At 39.2% G+C, this 24,511-nt stretch overlaps 1 protein-coding gene across 49 annotated transcripts in view, besides 1 other annotated feature; it reads right to left on the bottom strand.

Annotated features, from left to right (window-relative positions):
• Positions 2,890-3,069: an enhancer, noted in NCBI's record as "active region_16802". NCBI's record gives its function as "activates an Ori minimal core promoter by ATAC-STARR-seq in GM12878 lymphoblastoid cells {active_cell/tissue: GM12878}" and the evidence as "EXISTENCE:reporter gene assay evidence [ECO:0000049][PMID:35858748]".
• Positions 4,554-24,511, bottom strand: part of OSBPL6 (oxysterol binding protein like 6) — a 209,120-nt gene continuing 189,162 nt past the window's right edge. For all 49 annotated transcript variants that reach the window (XM_047443146.1, XM_047443150.1, XM_047443130.1 and 46 more), the window contains 9 exons: positions 24,170-24,423; positions 23,271-23,408; positions 21,926-21,989; positions 20,308-20,386; positions 18,294-18,438; positions 16,230-16,374; positions 14,909-15,035; positions 13,012-13,134; positions 4,554-11,996 (listed from right to left, as the gene is read on the bottom strand). In XM_047443146.1, the coding sequence (XP_047299102.1) occupies positions 11,888-11,996; positions 13,012-13,134; positions 14,909-15,035; positions 16,230-16,374; positions 18,294-18,438; positions 20,308-20,386; positions 21,926-21,989; positions 23,271-23,408; positions 24,170-24,423 (1,184 nt within the window). In that variant the 3' untranslated portion in view covers positions 4,554-11,887. The remainder of the gene's footprint in view (positions 11,997-13,011; positions 13,135-14,908; positions 15,036-16,229; positions 16,375-18,293; positions 18,439-20,307; positions 20,387-21,925; positions 21,990-23,270; positions 23,409-24,169; positions 24,424-24,511) is intronic.

Below are 24,511 nucleotides of genomic sequence, written 5' to 3'. Positions count from 1 at the left end.
AAAGCTGTCCTGGGCCACATGTGGCCCACAGGCCGTTGGTTGGGCAAGCTTGCTCTACAGTAACCGGTCCAGGAAACCGTATTACAACTCCTACAACAATCAGTCCAGAACAGTCAGGACTTGTTCAATGGCTGCCAACTTCCCTGTTTTTAACCCCTCTTCCAACTCAGGACCAACCAGAGAAAGTCAAACATGCTCCCTAAACCAAACACCTAAGAGGCCTTGCTTCCACTTAGCCCACCCGCATCTCTTCCTGCCAACAACTTCCAAACCAAATATATCTGAAATTGCTTAAAATATAGAGCTTGACTATTCTCTTTCCTGCCTTTGAGTCTCTGCCAAATGCAAGTGATGGAGGCTGACTCTCTTGCTATAGCTAGCTCTGAGTCAGTAACCTCTGCCCTCATTTGGGTGGTCTTCTCTACTTCCCATCATTGATTTCATGATGGATGAAATGACCAATAGTGGATGGTAAACATTGATGAACACTTGGTACAAGTTACATATCCTTTATCAATTTTCTTTTCCTTTTTCTTTTCTTTTTTTTTGAGACGGAGTCTTGCTCTTGTTGCCCAGGCTGGAGTGTAATGGCTCACTGCAACCTCCGCCTCCAGGGTTCAAGTGATTCTCCTGCCTCAGCCTCCCAAGTAGCTATCAATTTTCTTAAAAAACAAATATTCAGTACTCTATCTCTTATTACATGTGTCCTTTTTTAAAAAGCTAGCTTCTTACAACAAACAAAAAGTTGTTATCGGGCCGGGCGCTGTGGCTCATGCCTATAATCCCAGCACTTTGGGAGACTGAGGCAGGAAGATCACTTGAGGTCAGGAGTTTGAGACCAGCCTGGCCAACATGGAGAAACTCCATCTCTACTAAAAATACAAAAATTAGCTGGGTGTGGTGGCGTTCGCCTGTAGTCCCAGCTGCTTGGGAGGCTGAGGCAGGGGAATCGCTTGAACCCAGGAGGCGGATGTTGCAGTGAGCTGAAATCACACCACTGCACTCCAGCCTGGCGACAGAGCAAGACTCCGTCTCGTTAACAACAAAAAAAATTATTATCAACCAAGAAAATAAATGAACAGTAGTAGACTTTCACCATGCAATAAATACTAGAATTACTATAGCAAGAGTGAACGGACTGTTATACACTCTTCCATAAGACTGTTAAACCTCTATGTACTCTATAACTTTCCACAATTTTCATTGACCCTGCTTCATGTACCTTGCATGCCAAGGCACAGACCACAGCACAACAGACACACCAAGTAGCTGAGCAGTAGCATCAACTGCTTCTCCCACACGACTGGAAGGATCCGGCTGTCCTCAGCCCCTCAGTCTGAGCATACTTTGTCTTATCATCAAGAACCATGGCTACTCTCCTTGAAATTTTAGGACGTATTTAGTTATATTGACTCCTGCAAGGGTCTGTGAGAGAGAGAGAGGATATTGTTAAGGTTTTCACTTTCTTTTTTTTTCAGATTTAATCATGTGTTAAGTGAGAATCTTGTTCATTGTATGCATCTACTCATATACTGCTAAGTATATGAGTGAGACCATGTCTCTAAACTAAAAGTAAAATGTAGATCTCTAATAAGCTCATGCTGGCTTATTTATTTATTTATTTAGAGACAGAGTCTCACTTTGTCCCCCAGGCTGGAGTGCACTGGCATGATCTTGGCTCCCAGCAACCTCAACCTCCCTGGTTCAAGAGATCCTCCTGCCTCAGTTTCCCAAGTAGCTGAGACTAGAGACACATGCCACTGCACCCAGCTAATTTTTGTATTTTTTGTAGAGACAGGGTTTTGCCACATTGCCCAGGCTGGTCTCCAATTCCTGGGCTCAAGCAATATGCCCTCCTTGGTCTCCCAAAGTGCTGGGATTACAGGTGTGAACCACTGCACCACAGTGTCAAGAGGCTCAGGAGCTGATTAATAAGTTTCCCACTGGCCAAAGAGGAGACAATTTAAGCATCAGTAAAAATAATAACTGCAACGGGTTAAAACATATTTAAATTATTACTCCTAGCATTTTGGGAGGCCGAGGCGGGCAGATCATCCGAGGTCGGGAGTTTGAGACCAGCCTGACCAACATGGAGAAACCCCATCTCTACTAAAACACAAAATTAGGTGGGCGTGGTGGCACATGCCTGTAATCCCAGCTACTCGGGAGGCTGAGGCAGGAGAATCACTTGAACCCGCGAGACGAGACGGAGGTTGCAATGAGCCGAGATCGCACCACTGCCCTCCGGCCTGGGCAACAGAGTGAGACTCCGTCTCAAATAATAATAATAATAAAGCAATTGGGGAAGATGAGCAGCTTAAAAAATAATAACCAAAAAATACTATGCTAACATATAGAAAATTCTGAGAATGAAGTAGAAAATTAAGTATTTTGGAGGAGAATCTTAAGGAAGAGAAGGGTTGAATGTGAGGTGGTTTGATTTTCTTTGAAAGAAAAATTCTCATTCTTATATTTCTCTTCTAAAATTTTATAAATCTGAATTTGAAGGGTAAAGTACTAAGCTGTTACATTTGGGAAGTTTACTCTTGGTAAACTTTAAAAATGATGGACAATTTCAGGAATAAGTAGGAAATACTGAGCTTTCATTATTTATACCTTAGAGTACTTGCTATATGGATGACCTCGTTAAGAGACTTGAGAGCTTCCTGGCAGAGATTTATTTTTATAGTTTTCACTCCCTCCCAACCCATCAAACCCATTGTTTTAAAGAGAAAACAGCCCTGTTAGCATGTATGTTAGCAGAACCTGTGCTGTTGAAGCAGGCTGGTCTTCAGGCAGACAGCTGTCCACATTGCACAGCTGCCTGGCCAAGCAGCTGCCAGACAGGCCGTGCAGTTCTGAGTCAGGCCAACCCACATCCTTCAACGGTCAACCCTTGCCATCTGATGGCTTTCTGTCTGAGTCAACAAACTGTTGTCACGTATTCAGTTGTTTATCCCATCGTATCCTCCAATTCTGTACTTAGCAAGCTAAAACAAAACCAAGAAACCACTGCCTACCACCAGCAATAGTTTAATGTAACTGGGGCTATATGCACTTTTATAAAAGATTAATTCTCTGGCATGATTTTATAATTGGGCAGGAAAACTGACTTATGGCAACTGTGACTGTATAATCACAAACTATGCAAATGAAAGTTTCATCTATTATGTCTCTCTATTTTCAATTTGCTTCCCAGTTACTTAAGTACATATGGCAAAGGGGGTGGGGGCATTTCTTTGTCATTTCAAGTGTTTAGCATTTTCTCAATCTTCTCTCGCCACCTCCCCCTTCCCTCTAAGCTGATAACTTCTGGTGCATACACAGAAAAGGAGACAAGACTGACTTCTTTGTGTGTTCTTGCCAACCACATCAAAGTTTCTCCTCAATAGAGCCCTAGGAACTTATCCCTAGGACGTGATATTACAAGGTCCTCACATTTCTGTGATTGGACAGTGTCAGGATAGACTGGGTACCAGCCCATAAATGCACCACAGTGAGGCCAGGCTGTAGAAAGGCCCCAGAGCATGTGAGTTTATCACATTCCAGCAGGATTGAAATAGGTTGACTACCAATGTTTGTTTTACAAAAAACAGATTTTGGGATTCCAGTTAACCAAACAGTTGGTATGTTGTTTTGACACTCTGAAAATATTTCTTCCTCTACTTCTTTTGAAGAAATTGGAGACTTGGAGATTAAGACTGATAAATCATCTACTTATAATACGTGTACAGATTACAAACTAAACACATCATCATTGTTTTATTGAAAGTGTTTTCACCATTGACAGATAGAAAATAGCCCCCATGAAATCTCTCTTCCCAAGGGAGAATTATTGAATGAATGTAAATGAATCCCTAGAACTTTCCCAAGAGACCAAGATGGAAGAAACTCTCACCTAAGTGATTGTGAGTTTCCTGCAGACTTCATGAACTACAGCTTTTCTCCCATAATCTAGAAACATGGGAAACTGAAGGCAACTCTAAGTCTTTTTTTGTTTATTTATTATTATTATTACTATTTTTTGAGATGGAGTCTTGCTCTGTCTCCCAACCTGGAGTGCGGTGGTGTGATCTCGGCTCACTGCAAACTCTGCCTCCTGGGTTCAAGTGATTCTCCTGCCTCAGCCTCCCGAGTAGCTGGGATTACAGGCATGTGCCACCACACCCAGCTAATTTTTGCATTTTTAGTAGATGGGGTTTCGCCGTGTTGGCCAGGCTGGTCTCAAACTCCTGACCTCAGGTGATCCACCGCCTTGGCCTCCTGAAGTGCAGGGATTACAGGCATGAGCCACAGTGCCCAGCCTTAAGTCTTTTAATATTCAGGAAAATTCAGTTCAAAATTCAGGAAAAGAATCTGTGTTTTAGTATTCGATTTGAAAACACATGAAGAAGACCTGGAAATATAGTCAGATATAAGTACTCAAGCTTTATATCCTATGTGAAGTCTCTTGCTTCAAACAGATAAAAATATTTGGCAAATTTAGTAATTTTTGTAAAATTAGTAATGTAGAAAAGTCATCAGGACATACTGTACACAAAAAAATCTCTTTATGTAATTCATTTATAATTTATTGAGTTTCCTGTGCTGTTACAAATGTAACATTCTCATATACAACATTCATTGAAGAGGCACAATTCTTATTTTGAGGTGGCACAGATTAGACAAATTTTTCAGTGAATAATTCCTCTTTCATTAGGAAATTTAACCACAAGCTGTATTTTCGTAGAAAGTTGCTTGAAATTCTTTTCCTAAAAAAATTTAATTTTTCTATCTCAAAATGACCGTATGCAAACGAACAGTACATAACTACTGTCTTCATACCTTCTAATATAAGCAGAGTAATTTCACAGTGGAGTTTTTTCAAACAGAAATTAAAAATATGTATTATTTTCAGGGAAGAAGCTGACCTGGATCAAGAATGTCCTGCTAGACCTTCTTGTTAAGTAGGTGATCAAGAGTGTGCTTTGCCACAGGATTTCCCTGCAGGCTTTCCCTACCAGTCAGGACCTCATCAGTCAACTGAAAAACTCCCCTTAGAGACATAGACAAAGCCTAAGAGAGAATGGAAGGTGAGGTGGGGGTACTGATTCTTGGCTTTGAAGAGTAAACTTCTGGTTATCTGGCTGGTTAGATTGCCTCTAGGAATGTATTTTTACGTTCTCCGGTTTAGCAAAAATCTTGCCTTTTAGGTTTCAGAGTTCTGTCCTCCCCACTCTTTATCTCCATATTACAGGGCTGGCGTTGGGACAGAAGTCAAGAAAATGACAAAGTGGCAAAGTGAGTCACAGGTCACTGAGCTCTAATTTTTTTTTAAATGTCTTTTTTATTACTTTTTTTTTTAAGACAGGAACTTGCTCTGTCGTCCAGGCTCAGGGCAGTGGTGCAATCATAGCTCACAGCGGCATGGGCGTCAGGCTCAAGCCATCCTCCTGCCTCAGCCTCCTGAGTAGCTGGGACTACAGGTGCGCACCACCATGCCCGGCTCAGTTTCCGGTTCTTGAACTAGACTTTCCTACTGAGTGTCACATGAAAAAAAACAAACAAAAAAGACTGAGGCACAGGGACAAAGGAAAGAGTATTTAGCTGGCACACTCTCACCTTAGTTCTCCATCTACCTTAAAATGTCCCGGGGGCAGAGGGTGCTTGTTACAATGAGGATTCTCGGTCCACACCCTAGATCTGTGGACTCAGAATCTTTGGAGGGAAACTCAGGAATCAGCCTGTAAACAAATATCCAAGATGATTTTCGTGGCCCACCTGGGATCCAACCATATGCCCCCAAGAAGCAAGATCCCTGCCCCAGTTAGAGAACCTACTTTTTTCCCCAGATTCCATTTCTCTTGTATTCATTCTTGCCTTGTTTCTTCATTAGCATTTCATGTTAACCATTTTGTATGTGATCTTGTCTGGAAAGTTTTCTACTTTTGAGCAAACTTTTAGGCTCCGGATATAAGGAATAAGGCTTTTAGGCTCAGGATGTAAGGAATAAGCTTTCAACTTGCACAACTGCCAGTAAGTTCACTGGACACTTTCATTTCCATTGCTTTTTCAAAACTAGGTTTAGTAACTTTGTTTCCAGATGGGGAGAGAGGATATTAGCAGAATTGGAAAAGCAGCATTCTTGAGCACTGGGTGTTTCAAATGTTTGTGACACAAAAGTGGGGTTGGGGTGGGGGGATGATAAATAAATCAGCATAGGCTACTTCCCTGATCATCATCATCAAAATATCATTTCAAGAGCAGTCATTCTGGATACCGACGGCTTTGTCAGTGAGTCTTTCATTACACAGAAGAGAAAAACACTTCCCAGGGTTTCCTCAGCGCCACCACCAAGTGGTGTTACATCACCAGAAGCATGGAAATTAATCCATTAATTTACTTGGACATTTTGACATAAAAAAATAAATGATTGTTTTCTAAGCATTTCAAATCTAAATTTTTTAAATAATTTTTTTTCATTTTTGGGGGAAAATCTAAAATTTGTACCGGGCTACCAGAACTAGGACTTAATGGGATTCTTTCTGTTACAACATGTTACTACTTGATGGCGGATACTGGGGTAATGGAAGGGGAGGGTGCATATGCACGTGGCCTTCTAGAAAAATCCCATATGCAATACATATAAGAAAATACGCTAACTTTTAAAAATAATAAAAGCAGATCAATGGTTGCCTCAGGATAGAGGATGGGGAAGGATTACAAAGGGGCAGGGGAAACTTTTGGGGATGATAGATATGTTCACTATTTTGATTATGTCAAGGGTATATACATACATCAAACTGTATCAAGTACTGTTCAAATATGCGAAGTGTATTATATGTCGGTTATACCTTAATCAAGCTTTAAAAAGAACTTGAGTCCAGGCGCGGTTGCTCACACCTGTAATCCCAGCACTTTGGGGGGCTGAGGCGGGTGAAACACTTGAGGTCAGGAGTTCGAGACCAGCCTGGCCAACATGGCAAAACCCCCGTCTCTAACTAAAATACAAAAATTAGCTAGGTGGGTGGCACACGCCTGTAAACCCAGCTACTCGGGAGGCTGAGGCACAAGAATCCCTTGAACCTGGGAGGCGGAGGCTGCAGTGAGCCGAGATTGTGCCATTGCGCTCCAGCCTGGGTGACAGAGCACTCAAGACTCTGTCTCAAAAAAAAAAAAAAAAGTACAGCAATATCAATAAAATTAACAAAAAAAGAACTTGAAAAGACAAAAAAATTCTAGCAACAATTTTATTAAAAAACTAAATAGATGAGAATTAAGGGAAAGTGGGTGTCTAAGATAAAAGAAGTAATAGTTCTAGCATATTCTCTAACAGTATTAAGAAGTTCAATTGCTCACTTTATGAATTAAGTGTTAGAAGAAACAGGTGGAACACAAATAAGATGATACTTTGCTTTATGAAAACTTAATATTCCTCTCTCTACAATTGCCCTCACTTCTATTTGGGAGGAAGGAATGGCTAGAAAAAAAAATTGCAGAAAATAAGAACATTTTTGTTTTATGTTTTTTTCTTACCAATTTGAAGATACCAAAGTAACTAATAAAATGTATTTATGGGGTCATATGGTAATATGTAATCCATGAAAAATTAATAGTATTCACTAGGAGGCTAACTGAAGTGGTTTTCAATATTGAATGTCTCTGAAACTGTACATAAATACTGTATATTTTACAAACAATGACACAGTGTAAAAGAACATACATGTGTATCTATGCCTTTCACTATGTTAGGAGCAAGGCTGGAGAAAATGAACTAAATCAGATGTTGTTTTGGAAAACAAAAGGATGCATATGACAGGTAAGTTCTTTTCCACTTATCTGTAAGCTGCCTTAATCATGAAGCTTCATTTGCTTAAGATGTTGGACATGTTGGTCCATCACAACAATTTTTAAAGACCTCCTTCTTTAGATCTCATTTTGGACGTAATAAAGCTAAGTCTTTCTTAGATAATTTGCCATCTTCTTTAAAAGCAAAAGCTACAAAAAAAGTCTTTCAATTCAATAACAAATATATGCTCTTACAATTATGTATTAAACAAAGGTTTAGTTTAACAGAATGATTATGCAATGTACAGTTTAAACGTATCAGTTTTACAAAAGAAATTCAGTTAGGACTTACAGGACCGAATCCTACTTTGGATAGTATTATTTCTAAACAACTGGGAAGCTTTTGGGGAAAAAAAACCCCAAATACTTTAATCTTAACTCCATTTATACATTTCTTTCCATCTTTCCCCAAAAGAACATTTCTAGAGCACAAAATAGATTCAAAATTGTTTAATTAGATACATTTTATATATCCTGAACATAATGGCTCCCATAGAAATAAACTAGTATTTTGTACACAAACTTTATTTACTGTGCCACATTCATAATATACTGGGCCAAGTGCAAACATTTATTACATCCCCTGGTGTGTGCAGAGCTCTGCTCCCACAAACACCTCATTATCTAGGATGACAGAGAACAAGATTAGACAAGATGGATAATTAAAATCCACAAGGTAATAACAAAAATGTACTTTATGATTATAAACTCTTCTCCAGCTACAGCTGTAACCAGTACTAAGCAAAACAGTTTAATCAGGTTTTCCTCCCTAAATCCAGCCCCCAAGCCACTGCTCCTTGGGGCAGGATCTAATAATTGATTAGTGGGGTTGCTGAAAGGCCTAGGGCCAGAATAATCTAGAGGAAAAGGTTTAGAAAATTGACAACCTGGCATCTCATATATTGAAAATCCTTTGGTTTCTCTTGCCCAGAAAATTGCATTTTTTCCCCACATATAGTTGATATGTACCATTAAAAGTTATCTTAAATAAGGTTTATTTTTACAATTGCCTGAAAATTATGGGGTAGGTATTTTAAAAATAATCCATGAAAAACAATGGCTTAATTTAAGAAAAACAATAAAATAACAGCAAAAGAGAGTAAATCTGCACCCTGGGTGACAGCATATGGAATCGATGAGCTTCTGGTCAGCCTCTACCAGTGCTGGTGTGTGCCATTGATCCGCTCAGTCTAGCCAAGTCCTCAGAATCATCGTCACTTATTACTGCTCTCCTCAATGACCATCTCCAATGAGATGAAGCAGCTTATGAATAAACCATGGGAGAAGTATACAGGCATATTATGTTCTCCTCTATCCTAGATCCTTTTAGGAAAAAACAAGAAAGTAGGCCTGAAATAAAAAGGTTTGTATAACATCCTAAGGAATAAATCAGGTCTTATTAAGAGAATGATCTAATATTCTACCCTTTTGCTATTTAGTCTTGACAGCCCAAATACTACGTAGATGAAAATTCCAATAGAGTAAGTCTCTTCATTTTATAACCACCATGTCAATAAAAAGTAAAAAAGGGGATGAGGCCATCGCACCAATGAATATTCCACAGGAGATATGATATTAGTGAATTGGGTATTATAGGAATAGTAACTAAAACTTAACTGAACACTTGAATTGGAATAATCAGACTATCTGAATCCCAAAAGAGATTCTAAATCTGAGATATTATCAAATGTAGTGATTTTAATAGACATTTTTCTCATTCTCATCTTGAAGTCCTCATCAGAGTGTCAGGCTACCTCTGACCAACATTCACTCACCTGATTTGTACCATGACCTTACTGTCTGGTAAAGATCCTTTCTACTATTTTTTCTTTTTTGTAATTATAACCCAAATTGCTAAGTACAGTCGTTGCTTCCCTGATGGGTCCTGGATCCTCTTCCAGCTACCTGATACCACATCTGATGGTCAGCTGCTGCTCCCTTTCCTTCATCTCTGCTTGTAAAAACCTTTACTTTGCAGGATTGTTTTCTTATGTTTAGGCTATTTTGAGACTGTTCAGGGAAGTGCTAGTAAGTACAGACCAGAACCACTTTAAATAGTATTTAAAGCTTTATCAACCATAGGAGAACAGACTCCCGTGAGGAAGTCAATAGGATTCTTATTAAAATTAACGACATGTATCTCAGGATGCAGAAAAAGAACATCAAGATGAATGAGCAGAAAAAGAATCAATATCAAGGGGAAGATTTTACTGCCGCAGGGCAAGCCACCTATGGATTTAAAATGGGAATGAGAGGAATAGAGAGGGTATTGTTGAAGCAGAATGCTTAGATCTGGTGATGGATTCGAAAATTTACCTGAGAATGAAATTCCATTCTAAGCTAATGCAGACTGTACACATAACATAAAAACTCAGATGCAAGGGAGGAGTTTTGGATAAATAAAATATTGCGCCATCTAGTGGAAACGTTAGCGCTTTCTCTTACACTCTCATCAGCAGTTTTTCATTTGATGGTGTATTAGCCATTATTAGGAATGCTTTGCTGAGGAGAAATACCACTAAAATCAACACCTCATAATAAAATGTAAAGTGTCTGTAACTGTATCAGAGTTTTAAATAACACTTAAATTCTAATGGTAAGAATCCAAGAATAAACATCTAACTAACAATAAAATATATGTAATTTTATAATTCCCTAGGAAAATCTCTGAGGAGATATTTTAAAAAAAACATACAGGCATTTATATAGTCACCTACGTGCAGAAACAGGAATACTGATGCAAGTTTTCTGCAAAAGCCTCTGTATATTAGTGGAGGAAAAACAAATCCTGAAGTATGCAAAACACACTTCTGCTTTCCTGCTTTGGGATGGATACATTCCTTAGCTTAAGTTTCATATCTCTGCCAATAGCAAGGTAAATGCTTAATATGTAGCCATGTACCATATGGAATCACTTGATGAAAATTTGAAATATGATTTTGCATAGAATTCATTTAAACAATGCAAATAAACTACTATTATTCTTGCTTCTGTTCTCAGTGGAATTCGACTAGTGTCAGTGGAGCGGGCATGGGATTGAGACATGGATTACATGGTGCTTCACTCAAAAACAATTACATTTATAGTACTACTAAGCCCACACAGGAATTCCATATGCTTTTTGTTATTTCCTTTTAAGGTTTTAACACTGATGACCAAATGTCCAAATCAAAGACAGATTTTTCCAAATAATAGGGCACACTGTGAGGTTAGGTGGAAGAGGGATGGTTTATTATCTGGACGCAGGACAGGAAATTAACGAGCCACGTAAATACAGAGATCTACTTAGCACGTCTTTTCCTTCTTTCCCTTCAGACATACCATATGGTAACTGACTTATCAGAGTAAAGCACGTGTTGTTCACTTTTAAAAAACCCATTTAAGTTAGTCTCATAATTGTCCTGATTGAGAAAGTGAATCATGCCATGATTCAAAAAATCTGTTCTTCACATAAACCTATGAGCACACATTTTAAAAATGATTTATTGTACATCTTTGCATTTCTTAAGGCATGAACAATGGCATACAGATGGAACAGGTTCTGAGAAGCATCACATCTTTTTCGACAAGGCCAGCACAATCACACCACATCAAACAGACACACTTGAAGTCTGCACTGACCGACTGCTTGTGGCCCAGGAGTCCTGCGATAGGGGATGGTGCTTCCAGACAGTGGAACAATCGTGTGGTTTCTATGTTGTTGTTAACTTTCTTGATCAGCTTTAAGCACCAGTTACCATTTGTTTTTCTTTACAAACTGGTCAGACTTTGGATTTTATATTCTGCTCCTTTTATTCTGCTTTCCAAGGACGGTGTGGATTTTTTTTTTTTTTTTTTTTTTTTTTTTAAGGAATATGGTTGCAGCAAAACAGAAAGGATCCCAAAGTGGTTAGGGGCCTTGTCTAATGCACTTCTGAAAGTCCATTATAAAGATGAATAGAAAAGCAAATGGTAGGTTTTCAGTTGACCCAGAAACCACACATAGCTATAAGAAACATAATTGTGCATAGTTATTTATTCATTCAGAATGTGATATGTTGGCTAGCTCTACATTCCCAGTCTACCAAAGAACAGGGCTGTCTACTTTGCTAAACCCAGGGTCCTTTCGAAGCTCCCAGTAGGTGTCGTTAGAAACCCAGGCTTCTCTTTGATTGGCATCAATAACTTTTCTGTGAAAATATAAACATCAACATTAGTCATGAATCACATCAAGGTAACCTTAAATAGGACCCTCTCCTATAGATTAGACATGGACATATAAGCAGTGTTTGTAAGCCAGTTAGTATCTTATCTGCTAGCTACTGATGATGTGACTATTTTTGACTGGAAGTGAAGTCATTTTTGTTGTTAAATGTGTGAAATGGAAGTAGGTAGGGCCAGGGGGAGAGGAACTCAGGGCAGGAACAAATTACCTCCTGGCAGGGGTAAAAAGTAAATAGCCCCCAATAAAGCATATACAAATACTGTAACTAAGAGCTTCAGGTCCCAGACCCACAAGAATCCTTTCTCCTTCACTAAAAGTATGCAATATCAGTAGCTCTAAGAGCCCCTACTGGGCCCATGTCCAAGGAGCACATTTTAGACATCTGAAGGGCAAGGCTGCATTTCTACCCCAGGGCAGTAATGACAGGACAAGTCTAAAGGAGATAAGGTTACCCTGAGCTTTTTGTCCTGGCTCTGGAGGGCAACAGATGCATTTGGAAACCTCAGATTAATCTGTGTGATGTATATATAATCCTGCAAATAATCCTGTAATAATCACCTACTATCATACCACAGAGAGACCAAATCTAAACACACACAAGCTTTGTGTGATAGAAATAAAATGAAATCCTAATAAAAGCCAGGATGATCTTGTGGGCAGTGGGGTCTGGTTCAGTCCCTGGCTAAGGGAGTGGGAACCAGTTTCCACCATTCTAAAGAGTGCAGCTGAAGGACAAAGAGCCTTCTGGGCAGGATGCTCACTCTTTTCTGCTGCCCATGAAAAGAGAAGAGCTGTAGAAAAAATTTCTTTTTATAGTTACTAACTTTTCATAAGTGCAAAATCGATTCAATATTTTCACTGCCAAAAGCAAAGATACCAAAATCCATTTACCCATTTTATTTTCATTTAACTGGAGTTTCTCATGGCCTGTGGCAACCATTTGCAAAACATGAACTTGCTATGGGAGTTAACTGACTTACTTAAAAAATTTTGGTATATGTTCAAGATTGTTTTCTTCCATATATCGTCTCCGAGATCTCTGGAGTTCCTCTACTCTTTGCTTCTCTGATGCTGCAGCTTCTAAATTTCCTTCTTCCAAAAATCTAAGCAGAAAGCAGTTGATATTTTAACATATTATCCTCTTTTCTGGGGGAAAAAAAACCTCATTTGCACAAAATTGTTTTCTAATTGCTATGAACATAAAATACCGCACAGTAACGGACGGAGTCTTGCTCTGTCGCCAGGCTGGAGTGCAGTGGTGTGATCTCAGCTCACTGCAACCTCTGCCTCCCAGGATTTACATATTTTCTATGTACATGAACTGAATTATTATAATCAGCAATATCAGTGAAAGGTGGGTGGTTTGGCCTTGAAGACTTTTCTATGCTGTCTAGGGTTCTATAACTTGAGATTTTCAGGACAACTGCAGAGTCCAGGGTGAGAAGAGCGTGAAGTCATAGCCATGTTCCTTTTCTATATTATCAGAAAGCTTTTGCTAAAAGGCCATAGAATGGAGGATGGTAACTGGCTATTCTCCGTCTATTTTGAGAACAGGCTGAGAGGGAAGGAGCTTTCCTGTTTTACTGGAGAGGGCAAAACTGATGAGAAAAGAAAAGGTAATGGGGAAAATTACAAAAGGCCACAGAATGTGAAATGAATAGTAAATGAAATTCAGAAAAGGAACACTGAAATAGAATTGAGAAGGAAAAAGCAGACTGAATGGTGACTTACAAATGCTTACATTTCAAAATGAGAGCAAAGAACAGGAATATAATATGCTATACATTGTACAGGAAGTTTATTAATAAATTTGAATGTCAAATAGCAAGACAACATGTTCTAGAGAGAGAGGGCAAAATAGAAGAGAATTAAATAGTGGAACATTCAAAACTGAGAGCATTTTGGCAGATGGCAGATAAAGCCACAAATACATGGGAAACAGAAAATTGATCTTGAGTGGAATTTGTATGGCATATAGAATTTTTGGGAAAAGTAAAATGAATTCCATAGGAATGGACATCATGAGTTCAGAGCTACATAAGAATAAAAAACTAAGAATCAGAAGGTATTAAAGGTACTGTATTTTGAGTATATCTCATACTCTGTGGGATCAAAACCACATTGGGCAAATTGCAGACTTGCACTCAAAGCATTTCTGAGTTCCCCTGTAACTTATCCTATTATTCTTCAGTTTAAAAGATACTCCATGTTACAGAGTTATAGAAGTAAAAAGGTCAGAAACACTGGGTGAGGACTGATTATATATTTAAGAAAGAGTTCACAAATTTACAGACCTTTGGTAAATTTTAGGGGGAGGGAGAAACTTTGTTAAAAAATATCTCTGTTATCTTATCTTCTGTGGGGAACTATGTGCTGAGATAATCTGTTATGATCATTCTATGAATACTGCTTTTCCTGGCATAGAAAACTCAAATATTGCTGAGTGAATAAGGGAATGGAGAAAGGATTGAATAAAAATACATGATGGTAGTAAAAATAAGTCACAATGACCTCTAAAGCCCCAAGCCATAATAGTCTGCCTTTTTTTTTTTTTTTTGCCAGGGTCTCTCTCTGTTGCCCTGGCTGGAGTACAATGGTACAATCATAGCTCACTGTGGCCTCAACATCCTAGGCTCGAGCGATCCTCCCACGTCAGCCTCCCTAGTAGCTGGGACTTTAGGCATGCCCCACCACACCCAGCTAATTTTTAATTCTTTTTTTTTAGAGATATAGAGTCTCACTATATTGTCCAGGCTGGTCTTGAATTCCTGACCTCAAGTGATCTTCCCTCCTCAGCCTTCTAAAGTGCTGGGATTATAGGCATGAGCTACTGCACCCAGCCATAGTCTGCATATTAAATACCACTGCCATCCTCACCTTTGATCTGGCCGGAACCGGGCGTCTGTTGGTGGAAGGAGATCTTTTAGTACTGGATCTAACTCATTGAGCTCAATAGCAAACCTTGTGAAGCCATAGTACAGCTCATAGTTTGTTGGCATGGAACCTGGAAAGAGGCCAATGAACCACTGTGAGAGGCAGAAGGTTTATGGAACTGGAAGAAGCTGACTTACCCTAGTACTTAGTACCTACACTAACACCAAATTTGTAGTCATAAACACAAGATTATAGATTTTTTCAAGTGAATTAAATTGGTGGTATTCCTAGGTAGGAAACTTTGTGTTGATGATCAGAATTGACAGATTCATATATTTAATACAATCCTGTCTTTCAAACAAAACTGCACATATAGTAGTCTTCATTAGCTAAACTACTCCATAATATTTCTCTTGAATATTCAATTGGTTAACTAAATACTATGGCAATTAACTATGAACATTAAGAGTACACCAGAAACACTTGTTTGCTTCCTTTTAGAAAAGAAAAATATGCAGACCTAAATTAATATTTTTTGCCACTTTTTAACTAAACTTGAAGGCAGGATCTTTGTATGTCTTGCTCATTGACGTATCCCGAGCTCCTGGAATAAAGCCTGATGTACAGCCAGCACTCAATAAATAGTTGCGGAATGAATAAGCTAGCCACTCTACTAGCGGGAAATTTAAATACTCATTGATGTCTCTTAGGAAACTAACAACTAATTTTAGTTAGGGATTAACTGACAAAATTCCAGTGACAATAAATGTCATGTGGATACTTGTTCCATTTATACTTGATATTCAATCATAAGCTAATGTGTTATCAGAACTCTTTTGATGTCTTTTATTAAATGTCAACATATTGCTGTCTCTTGAGGCTCAAGTGAAAAGATTACTTATTCTGGTGAGTTATTGAATTTGTGGATTACAAATGTTTGTAGTCTTTGTTTTATTAAAGCAGAGAATAAATAACATGAGTAAGGTTTTAAGTTTGTATACTTCAATTATCTAAAGTCTTTAATAAATATACCTAGCTTTTCAAATGTAGGCATTACACTTTGAGCAATTTTTCATGAAGCCCAATCTCTGACTGCCTGTCAGAGATTTGGCCTACATTCTTTATTATGAAATATCAAATATTGGGGCTTATGTATAACTTCTATGTTAAGTATGAATGTAACTATAATTGCCATAAGCATCTACGCTTTTAATCTCACTCTTAAAGGAAACATAATGTGAGTTGCATAAGATGACCTGATGTTCTCTTCCCTTCTGTTGTCCATAGTGCCCTCCTGTTGGCAGAACACTCAGGCCACTCTCACCTGGTCTCCAAATGCACTTTGCAGAGGGGGCCACACCACAGTAGAGTCCTTCATGCCACTTTCCAAACAGCCGGTACACCGCCTTCCCCTCCTGATCTATCACCACCCCCTGGACTTCATTCATGTTAGAATTCCAATAATTCACCTGGAAAAACCAAACCCCAATTGTGACATTTGATGGCTTTAATAACATCATTCCCTGTATTTTCCATATAGAAAAATTTCTTAGCCTTGAAGTCCCTTATTCAAACCATTTTCAGAAATACAGAAATCTCAAAACGTTTTATATGGAGGGCTGGCTTTCTAAGAGTTAGCTTAACTTTCAAGAAAGGGATGGTCTCTATTCCACGCATAACATGGTAGTATATCACAGAGAAGGCTCAGCTTCTATCCCAAGAACCTAATATTAATTTCTAAGCTAGCAATTTTTTTTCCTCTTGTTTTGAATTTTCCTCTTGCTCATGGATTTTAATAAATTTCAATTGGCCATGCTGCAGAAATTGTTTGTGAAATAATTTTCATAGTATCTATAAATGGCCAAATTTTATGAGGAGGGCCCTCAAGTGGCCCTTCCAGCCATACTCCTTCCCAAGGGATAAGAAGTCTATGGGAGTTTGCCTACCCCATGATTCCCCTTCCAGATCAGGCCCCAAGTATACAGGACCCTAGAATTCCTTGTCCAAGTAGCTCCAAGGTTATTCCACAGCTGGCAAGGCCCTTTTCCTTGGATTCATGCACCCAAGGGCAGACCACCCACCAGCGTGTGCACCTTTAGGTCTGAAGAGTGGCCAAGGGTGGTTGTTTGTGGGGGTGTGAACAGAGCTTAGATGTGTGGGCTGGCCTGCCTGTATATGTGTGTATGAGGCCCCTTGCAGTCAAAACAGAGCCAGAGGTGGGAAGAAAGTAGGGAAGGCCGTGGGCCAGGACTGGCTGTCCTACATTGCCAGGGTTACAGCACAGAGTTCTGAAGGGTCCAACCTGGCCTCACAGGCTTTGTTATAAAAAGTGTATTTGTCAAGGCAAAGAAATAGAGCATATTCTATTTTATAGCTTACAGACTTGATTTACATATTTTAGTTAATTATACAGGCTCTGCAAGTGTTAGAGACAGGACTGCACTGCAGCTTCTCATAGCCTACAAAGCCAAATGTACATATTTACATCATCACCCAGCCAGAGCACATAGTGATCTTGGCTCTTCAGTTCTAGGTACCTTACGAGTCTCTAAGAAAAAAGGTAGTGAAAACATTTTGGGCTAAAATAAAGACACTCAATTAAAATAAATACAACCTTCCAATATGGCTTAAAAGGATTTAACTGAGAAAAGAAAATATTAGAGTCTTAAGACTCCAATATGTTACCTGTTTACCATATTAGAATGGGATCATGAATTGAACAGGTATGGTAGCTGGGTGGGGTTTCTATACTATGTTGAATTCTGTAGCACATCCAAACAAACACGGCAGTGATACTGAATGTTCCACTTCAGACCAGAGAAACTGAGGGAAAATGGTGCTTTTTGGGCGTTTCTATCCCAACATATTTTCTTGTTAATGAGGCTAATTTTTCCTGTTGAACTTATTTGAATTATAACAGTGGCAGGGTTGGATAAGCATGTACTGACTGGTGGTGATCATCTACATGACTACATCAAGTGTCTTCAGAAAATGACAACATTATAATGAGTTCCCGAAATTCAGATCACTTGAACACATATCAAGCAGGAAGAGAAACAGAAATATAAACCAGAAGATTTATAGTCAAGAAGTGTTTTCTGGAATTTTACTTAGTGAACAACTGACTGGCTACTTCAAAAGAAAATTCTTTAAAAAGACATGTGTTTTTTTTCTGTTTTAGATGATGCCTTTTTTGACCTCCATATGTTCAGAAACTTGCATGCCTTGAGAAACTCTATCAGTTTGTTCTGCTTTCTTATCTAAAATGTCCGTAAGGACCAATGATACAGGACAGATTCACTTGCTGCTATTTAAGGTGATTATTCTATTTCTTCTTTAAGAAGCATTTTATACTCATTTTCCTTTACTGTTGTATGATAGTATTTACCTTGACAAATGTGAGTTTGCAAATGCAAACACTGCTTTTGGTATTTCTGATGGTTACTTCTCCATAATGTTCTATCCATCTTCTCCCACTGAGGATGTTGTGTATGCAAGTGGTGACTTTATTCCACACATAGTAATCTCCATACCTAGTGAAGAATGTAACACTGATGAAAAACAACCAAGGTCACAAACACATATAACTGTTTCTGCTAATGAGAATATTCTTTGGCCAAAGCTTCCTTTTCCCTCATTCTCCTCCCATTTGTGTCTTGAAATTCTCTCTGTGGTCATTAAGTATTTACGATGTGGTTAATTCACTTAAGGAACATTTAAGTGCTTTCTATGGGCCAGGTGCTAAAGTTACAAAGTGGAATAGGGCCTGGTTCCTGCTTTTCTGGAGACAGAAGTATGGGAGGGTAGATGGATATGCAAACAAATACTTAAAATATGCATATCATCGGAACACAGAAGGAAGAGTTTTTAGTCCTTCAATCTACCTGGAACGTGGGATGAGTGTCAAGGAAGACACCTTAGAAGAGGCTGGGTTTCGTGTAAGCACAGATGGCAGATAAGAGGGCACTATGGGCTGGGGAAAAGCATCCACAGAGCCACAAAGGTCAGAAGGGCACAAGGCATCCAGGCCTGTGAATGCTGTGCTCCAGGTGAGTGCGGGTGGCAGGACGCAAGGCAGGAAAGGTGTGATGAGGCAGAGCCGGGAAGGCCTGCAGGGACGTACCAAGGAGTCTAGATTTACCCTGCAGGCAATGGGCCACCGCAGGATTCCAGGTAGGAGGGAGGCACCACAGAGTGTGCACTGAAGAAAGATCACTCTGGGAACACTGTTTTGTACTCCAGGTTTAAGACCTCAGATGTGAATAATTCTTCGGGAAAAGACTGAAGAGCATACTAAGATGGCACAAATCTATTACAAATTCTGGGGAACAAGGTTACAGAATTTCTGCTAAGAAATGAAATGATATAGCTTCAAATCACATTTAAGTTTGTACGTTACATATATTTTCAAATGAAATGTTACATCAACATAAAAAAGATGCTTCTAAGTTTCTGCAAAGTTTATGAATTGGTATGATGTAGGCACCATATATACCTAGGAAAACTCTCTTCCTTATACATTTTTTTTTTTCTTTTTTGAGATGGAGTCTTGCTCTGTCACCCAGGCTGGAGTGCAGTGGCACAATCTCGGCTCACTGCAATCTCCGCCTCCCAGGTTCAAACAATTCTCCTGCCTCAGCCTCCCGAGTAGCTGGGATTATAGGCGCCCGCCACCACACCCAGCTAATTTTTTGTATTTTTAGTAGAGATGGGGTTTCACCTTGTTAGCCAGGATGGTCTCAATCTCCTGACCTTGTGATCCGCCCGCCTCAGCCTCCCAAAGTGCTGGAATTACAGGCGTGAGCCACCGTGCCTGGCCTACATGTTCAAATATTCAAAGTTTATTTTGTGGTCCTAGGAATACCTCCCTCTCTTCACCTTCTTCCATATCCAGTTCATCTGGAAATTCTGTCATTCAAATAGGTAAAACCGAAGAAACAATCAAGTCCTTGGCCTCAGTAAAAATTCCAATTAATTTCAAAATATTTAGAGGCAGTATCCTCTAGAACACAACCATAAAAGGATTTCATCACTCTTCTTTGATAAAATACTCCCTGGATCTAAGATGAACTCAAAAGTGAAACTGAATTGTATAGCAAAGAAATGGCTAAACAGGAGAACCTTTTATATACAATCAAACTAGCATGATGACTGGGCCATGGGAGGTACCTGGTGGTGTTGACTGAAGAATGGAGGATGTGAAGAAATAAACAGGAAGCTTTGCTACATATGCTTAAGTTCTCATTTGTTTTTGTGGGAGTCTATTCTCAAAACTTTGGCAAAGGTAACAGAAGTTTGGGTATAAAGAGAAAGAAACCCTTACCATCTTCTAGAGTTTAAAATACCCATTTATGATTTAGAAAAGCAGACAAGAGGCCAAAAGGGAGGTGTGAGTCACCTACTTTGGAAGCATGACATTCAGTGTTCCAACAGGCAGGATTTCCATCGACTTCCCCCAGAACTTGTTTTTCCATCTGATATCTAAATGACATAGGGAGAGGACAAGAAATACATACCCCATATCTAATCACCTCTTCTATAAAAACTAACTTTTGTATTACACTTTATGAAACACTTTGGAATGACAACTGATTCTATATTGCTGATTTAGTATGACAAGTGCCTGCAAATGGCCCAAGGTGAAAATATTAACTGTGAACCAAAAAATAAACAAACAAACAAACAAACAAAACTAAAAAAAACCCCCACTATCTATGTTTCTCTATAACATATGCTCTTTATTTGTTTTCAACTAACAGAGCTGGGAGAAGCCTGGAACAGTGTGTGTGCGGTGTGTGTGTGTGTGTGTGTGTGTGTCTGTGTGTGTGTATTCACATTTTACATACAAACATAGACTCTACTGTGCTTTAATGTCCAGACAGCAATAAAGGTTGTTATAAGTTTTAACTAAGTGGTAAAAATAGTTAACAAATATATCAAGCATAAGATGTACACTAAAAATAATTGGAGTATAGCAATACAATTAATTTATATATACATTTCCCCCCATATCAAAGACATATAATTTGGGATTACAGTTAAAAAAAATCTCCAAATACAGATAAAATAAAATTTATAAAATAAGATTTATGAAAGAGTGGGATTAACTTAATGAATGTTTTTATACTGGTTGTTAAGATATAGACCAGGGCCCAGCACTTTACCTCACACGATGGCTTTATGTTTTACGTATGGAAACTTAGATTTATTTGTGCATTTGTGATAACCACCTGGTTCCATTTTGATGAACTATGGGAACTTCGTGCCATCTCCACAAGATGCCTGATTCTTGGTGATGACCAAGAAATGATCTGTCATCTTTTTGTAATAAAGTACAGCTACAGTGTTCTATCATTTTTATGTATTTTCAGGTTAAGAAAATGCTCATGAGAAGTCATTCTGTGAGTAATGAAGCACCCTTCCAAACACGAAGGAACTATTTACACTTAATGTTCACATTTACATAAATATTCTTTTCTTTGTAAAGGAGTTTAGAAACTTTTTTGTATTAGGCAAGCTTGTAACATTCTGACTTAACTCAGTAGAGACTTCAATCCAAACTCTGGAGCCCCAGTGAGTTAAAGGCCAGGAATTACTGTAATGTTTGCATATCTATTTAGATTATGACCATTGATGATGTGTCATAGAGCCTTCCTTCAGAATTAAAATGTCTTTGCACACCCCGAAGAACCAAGAAGGCAGCAGATGGAACCTCCATGTTACAGATGCAGACAATAAGGAACATGAGATAAGGTGGTGGCTCTCCACCGGCACAGTCCGCATGGAGCTCTGCTATTCCATACAGCATTGTTTCCAAGATAAGCAATCTCATCTCCTAGCTGAAACTGTTTCATGTTGAAACCAGGAATTTTGATTTCTCAAAATGAGCTCTGCACCAATTACTAACATTTGCTGAGTTCCAAAGGTAGAAATCTAAACTGAATACAGTGTCCCTTTGGAAGCCAGATATTTTTTCATAGGCTCATACATTTGATTTTAAATTATAATTGAAATACAAACCTTGCCAAAACACAAAATTCTTTGATTCACAGTGACAGGCAGAAATGGGTGGATGATGGCTAACCTGGTAATTAAAAACAAAAAAAAGGCAGTATCAGTGTTAAGACTTCCACATGGTCATCCATTTCTCTTACTGAATTATTCTCAAAATGTATAAGTAAATCTGTAAGACTTCATGCTTTAAAAACACTGAGAACTTATACAATTTAGAGGGGAAATAATGCCCATAAGTGAAGTGAATTCGTCCTTCCTTCCTTCCTTTCTTTCTTCCTTCCTTCCTTTCTTTAATTATACTTTAAGTTCTGGGATACATGTGCAGAATGTGCAGGTTTGTTACACAGGTATACACGTGCCATGGTGGTTTGCTGCACCAATCAACCCATCACCTACATTAGGTATTTCTCCTAATGCTATCCCTCCTCTTGCTCGCCACCCCCCAACAGGCCCCAGTGTGTGATGTTCTCCTCCCTGTGTGCATGTGTTCTCATTGTTCAACTCCCACTTATGAGTGAGAACATGCGGTGTTTGGTTTTCTGTTCTTGTGTTAGTTTTCTTAACTGTGTGAAAAGAAAATAAATCTCAGGACCACCTGCCTCCCATTTTATTCCTAAAAAAGATAGCTACAAAGATTTTTTTTTTTTTTTAAAAAGGCTACCTCTCTCCCTCACAATTTGCCCACAAGGAAATTCTTTGTGGGCCTCAAGATCTTTACCCTAAAACAGTTCTGTTGAATTTCAACCTGGCAATGTACATTGATAGCTTATCTTCACAGGTATGGGACAAAGGATTGACAGAACTCAAAGTCATCCTTCTGCTCACCTGAGAGAGATGCATATCTGATTACTTCCTCTGCCCTACTGTCTATGTAAAAATGCAGATTCACAGAGTGAGACTGAGGCATAAGTGACTCTCTCTCTACCACCCTCTCACATGTAAATTGTGTATTCAGTGAAAGGCTGATCAGAGACCCAAAAGAATGCAACCTTTCTTATCTACCTATGACCTGGAAGTCTCCATTTCCAAGTTGTCCCACCTTTCTGGACAGAATCAATGTACATCTTACATATATTGATTGATGGTGCATATCTCCCTAAAATGTATAAACCCAACCTGTGTCCAGAACACCTTGGACACATTTTGTCAGGACCTCCTGAGGCTGTGTCATGGGTGTGTCCTTAACCTTGGCAAAATAAACTTTCTAAACTGATTAAGACCTGTCTCAGATACTTCGAATTCACAACTGGTATCATAACCCATCCCAACAGATTGTTATCGAAATGGTGCTTTCATCACCGAACTGTCCTCTTACCTATATAGAAACCTCACTGAGTCCAGTGGCGCTTACCTGTTCTGAGAAAAAGCGGAATCCCTTGTCTTCTCTAATGCATTCATAAGTCTCCCCAAGGACTGGGTTGAATGGCTTACTTCCTGCTCTGAAATAGGTGGAGCAGTATCCTGAAACTGCAAATGCGGCAACGAGAACCTGTTAAAACATTGAAGAAAAGGGAATAATATAGGAGAGACGACTGCTGGGTCTGTTTGTTCCTCATCCCTCTAGATTTTACACACCTCATGTGGATGGGTGTTGATTTGATGACAGTTGCATTTTCTATTGTCTGTACAGAATTTTTATCAACTCATGGGGAAAAAAATAGGTAAGATTAGGTAAAACCACTCGCACAGAAACCAGCAGGCCACTGAGGTGAAGCATTTTTCACCCTTCCATCCAACGTCATGAGTATCACAGAGTTCAAAGGTTCTGAAACCCAGCTTATTGGTTCTGCCACAGGCATGATCTTAGCCTCATGTGCATGAGGATTGTGGTTGCGGGTGCTTTTCAGAGGGCATGGCATGTTTCCCACAGCCATATGGGATAAAGGGTGAAGTATAAACAGAAGTTATTTTCTCAGACCTAAGTTCCTGAACAGATGGGCTATCCTGACATTCAGGAAAAACTGATAAAGTGAGGCAAGGTGTGCCTTCAACCTCTAAGGAGTATGAGACCTTTACACCTTAACTTTAGAAACACTCTAGACCAAGGATAAGGCACAAAAAGTGTGTCTTCCTGTGTTGGTATCTGGGAGGTTTTGGCCTTGCCGGATTTATGCAAACAGATCAATTCCTCTTTTACTATGCAGTAAGAATATTATGCAAATGCCAAATATATCATAATGAATTCTGGCTTAGCCCAGGTCTAGGGTTGGCAAATCCCTGAGGGGCGCTGCTCTGTTAGTTATTTATTACCATGCGCTCATATGGATCATCAGTTTCCGAAGCCTTGTCCAGGAGCTCGCTGTATTCCATTTCCTCACAGAGGTGCTGCAGGGTGTTGAGCGGCTCGTTTAGCTCCACAGGCATAGAGACTTTAGACAGGTCTTTACCAATGTTGTTCCTCAAGATATTCCACAGGTTAATGTTACTGGTGTCAGGACAAGGAGCTGGCAGGCATGCTCGACGCCCATTTCGGAAGGCCCCTCCTGTAAGCTCCCCATTCAGGACTGGAAGAAGGAGAGTCACAGTGAAGGACACTTTGCTGTTCTGATTTCACAAAATCAAGAAGGGAAATAACTTTCAAATAAATCTGAT

The sequence above is a fragment of the Homo sapiens genome, chromosome 2 (assembly GCF_000001405.40).
Source record: "Homo sapiens chromosome 2, GRCh38.p14 Primary Assembly".
NCBI lineage: Eukaryota > Metazoa > Chordata > Mammalia > Primates > Hominidae > Homo > Homo sapiens.
Note: the sequence above shows the minus strand (reverse complement) of the source record. Positions and strands in the feature narration are given on the sequence as shown.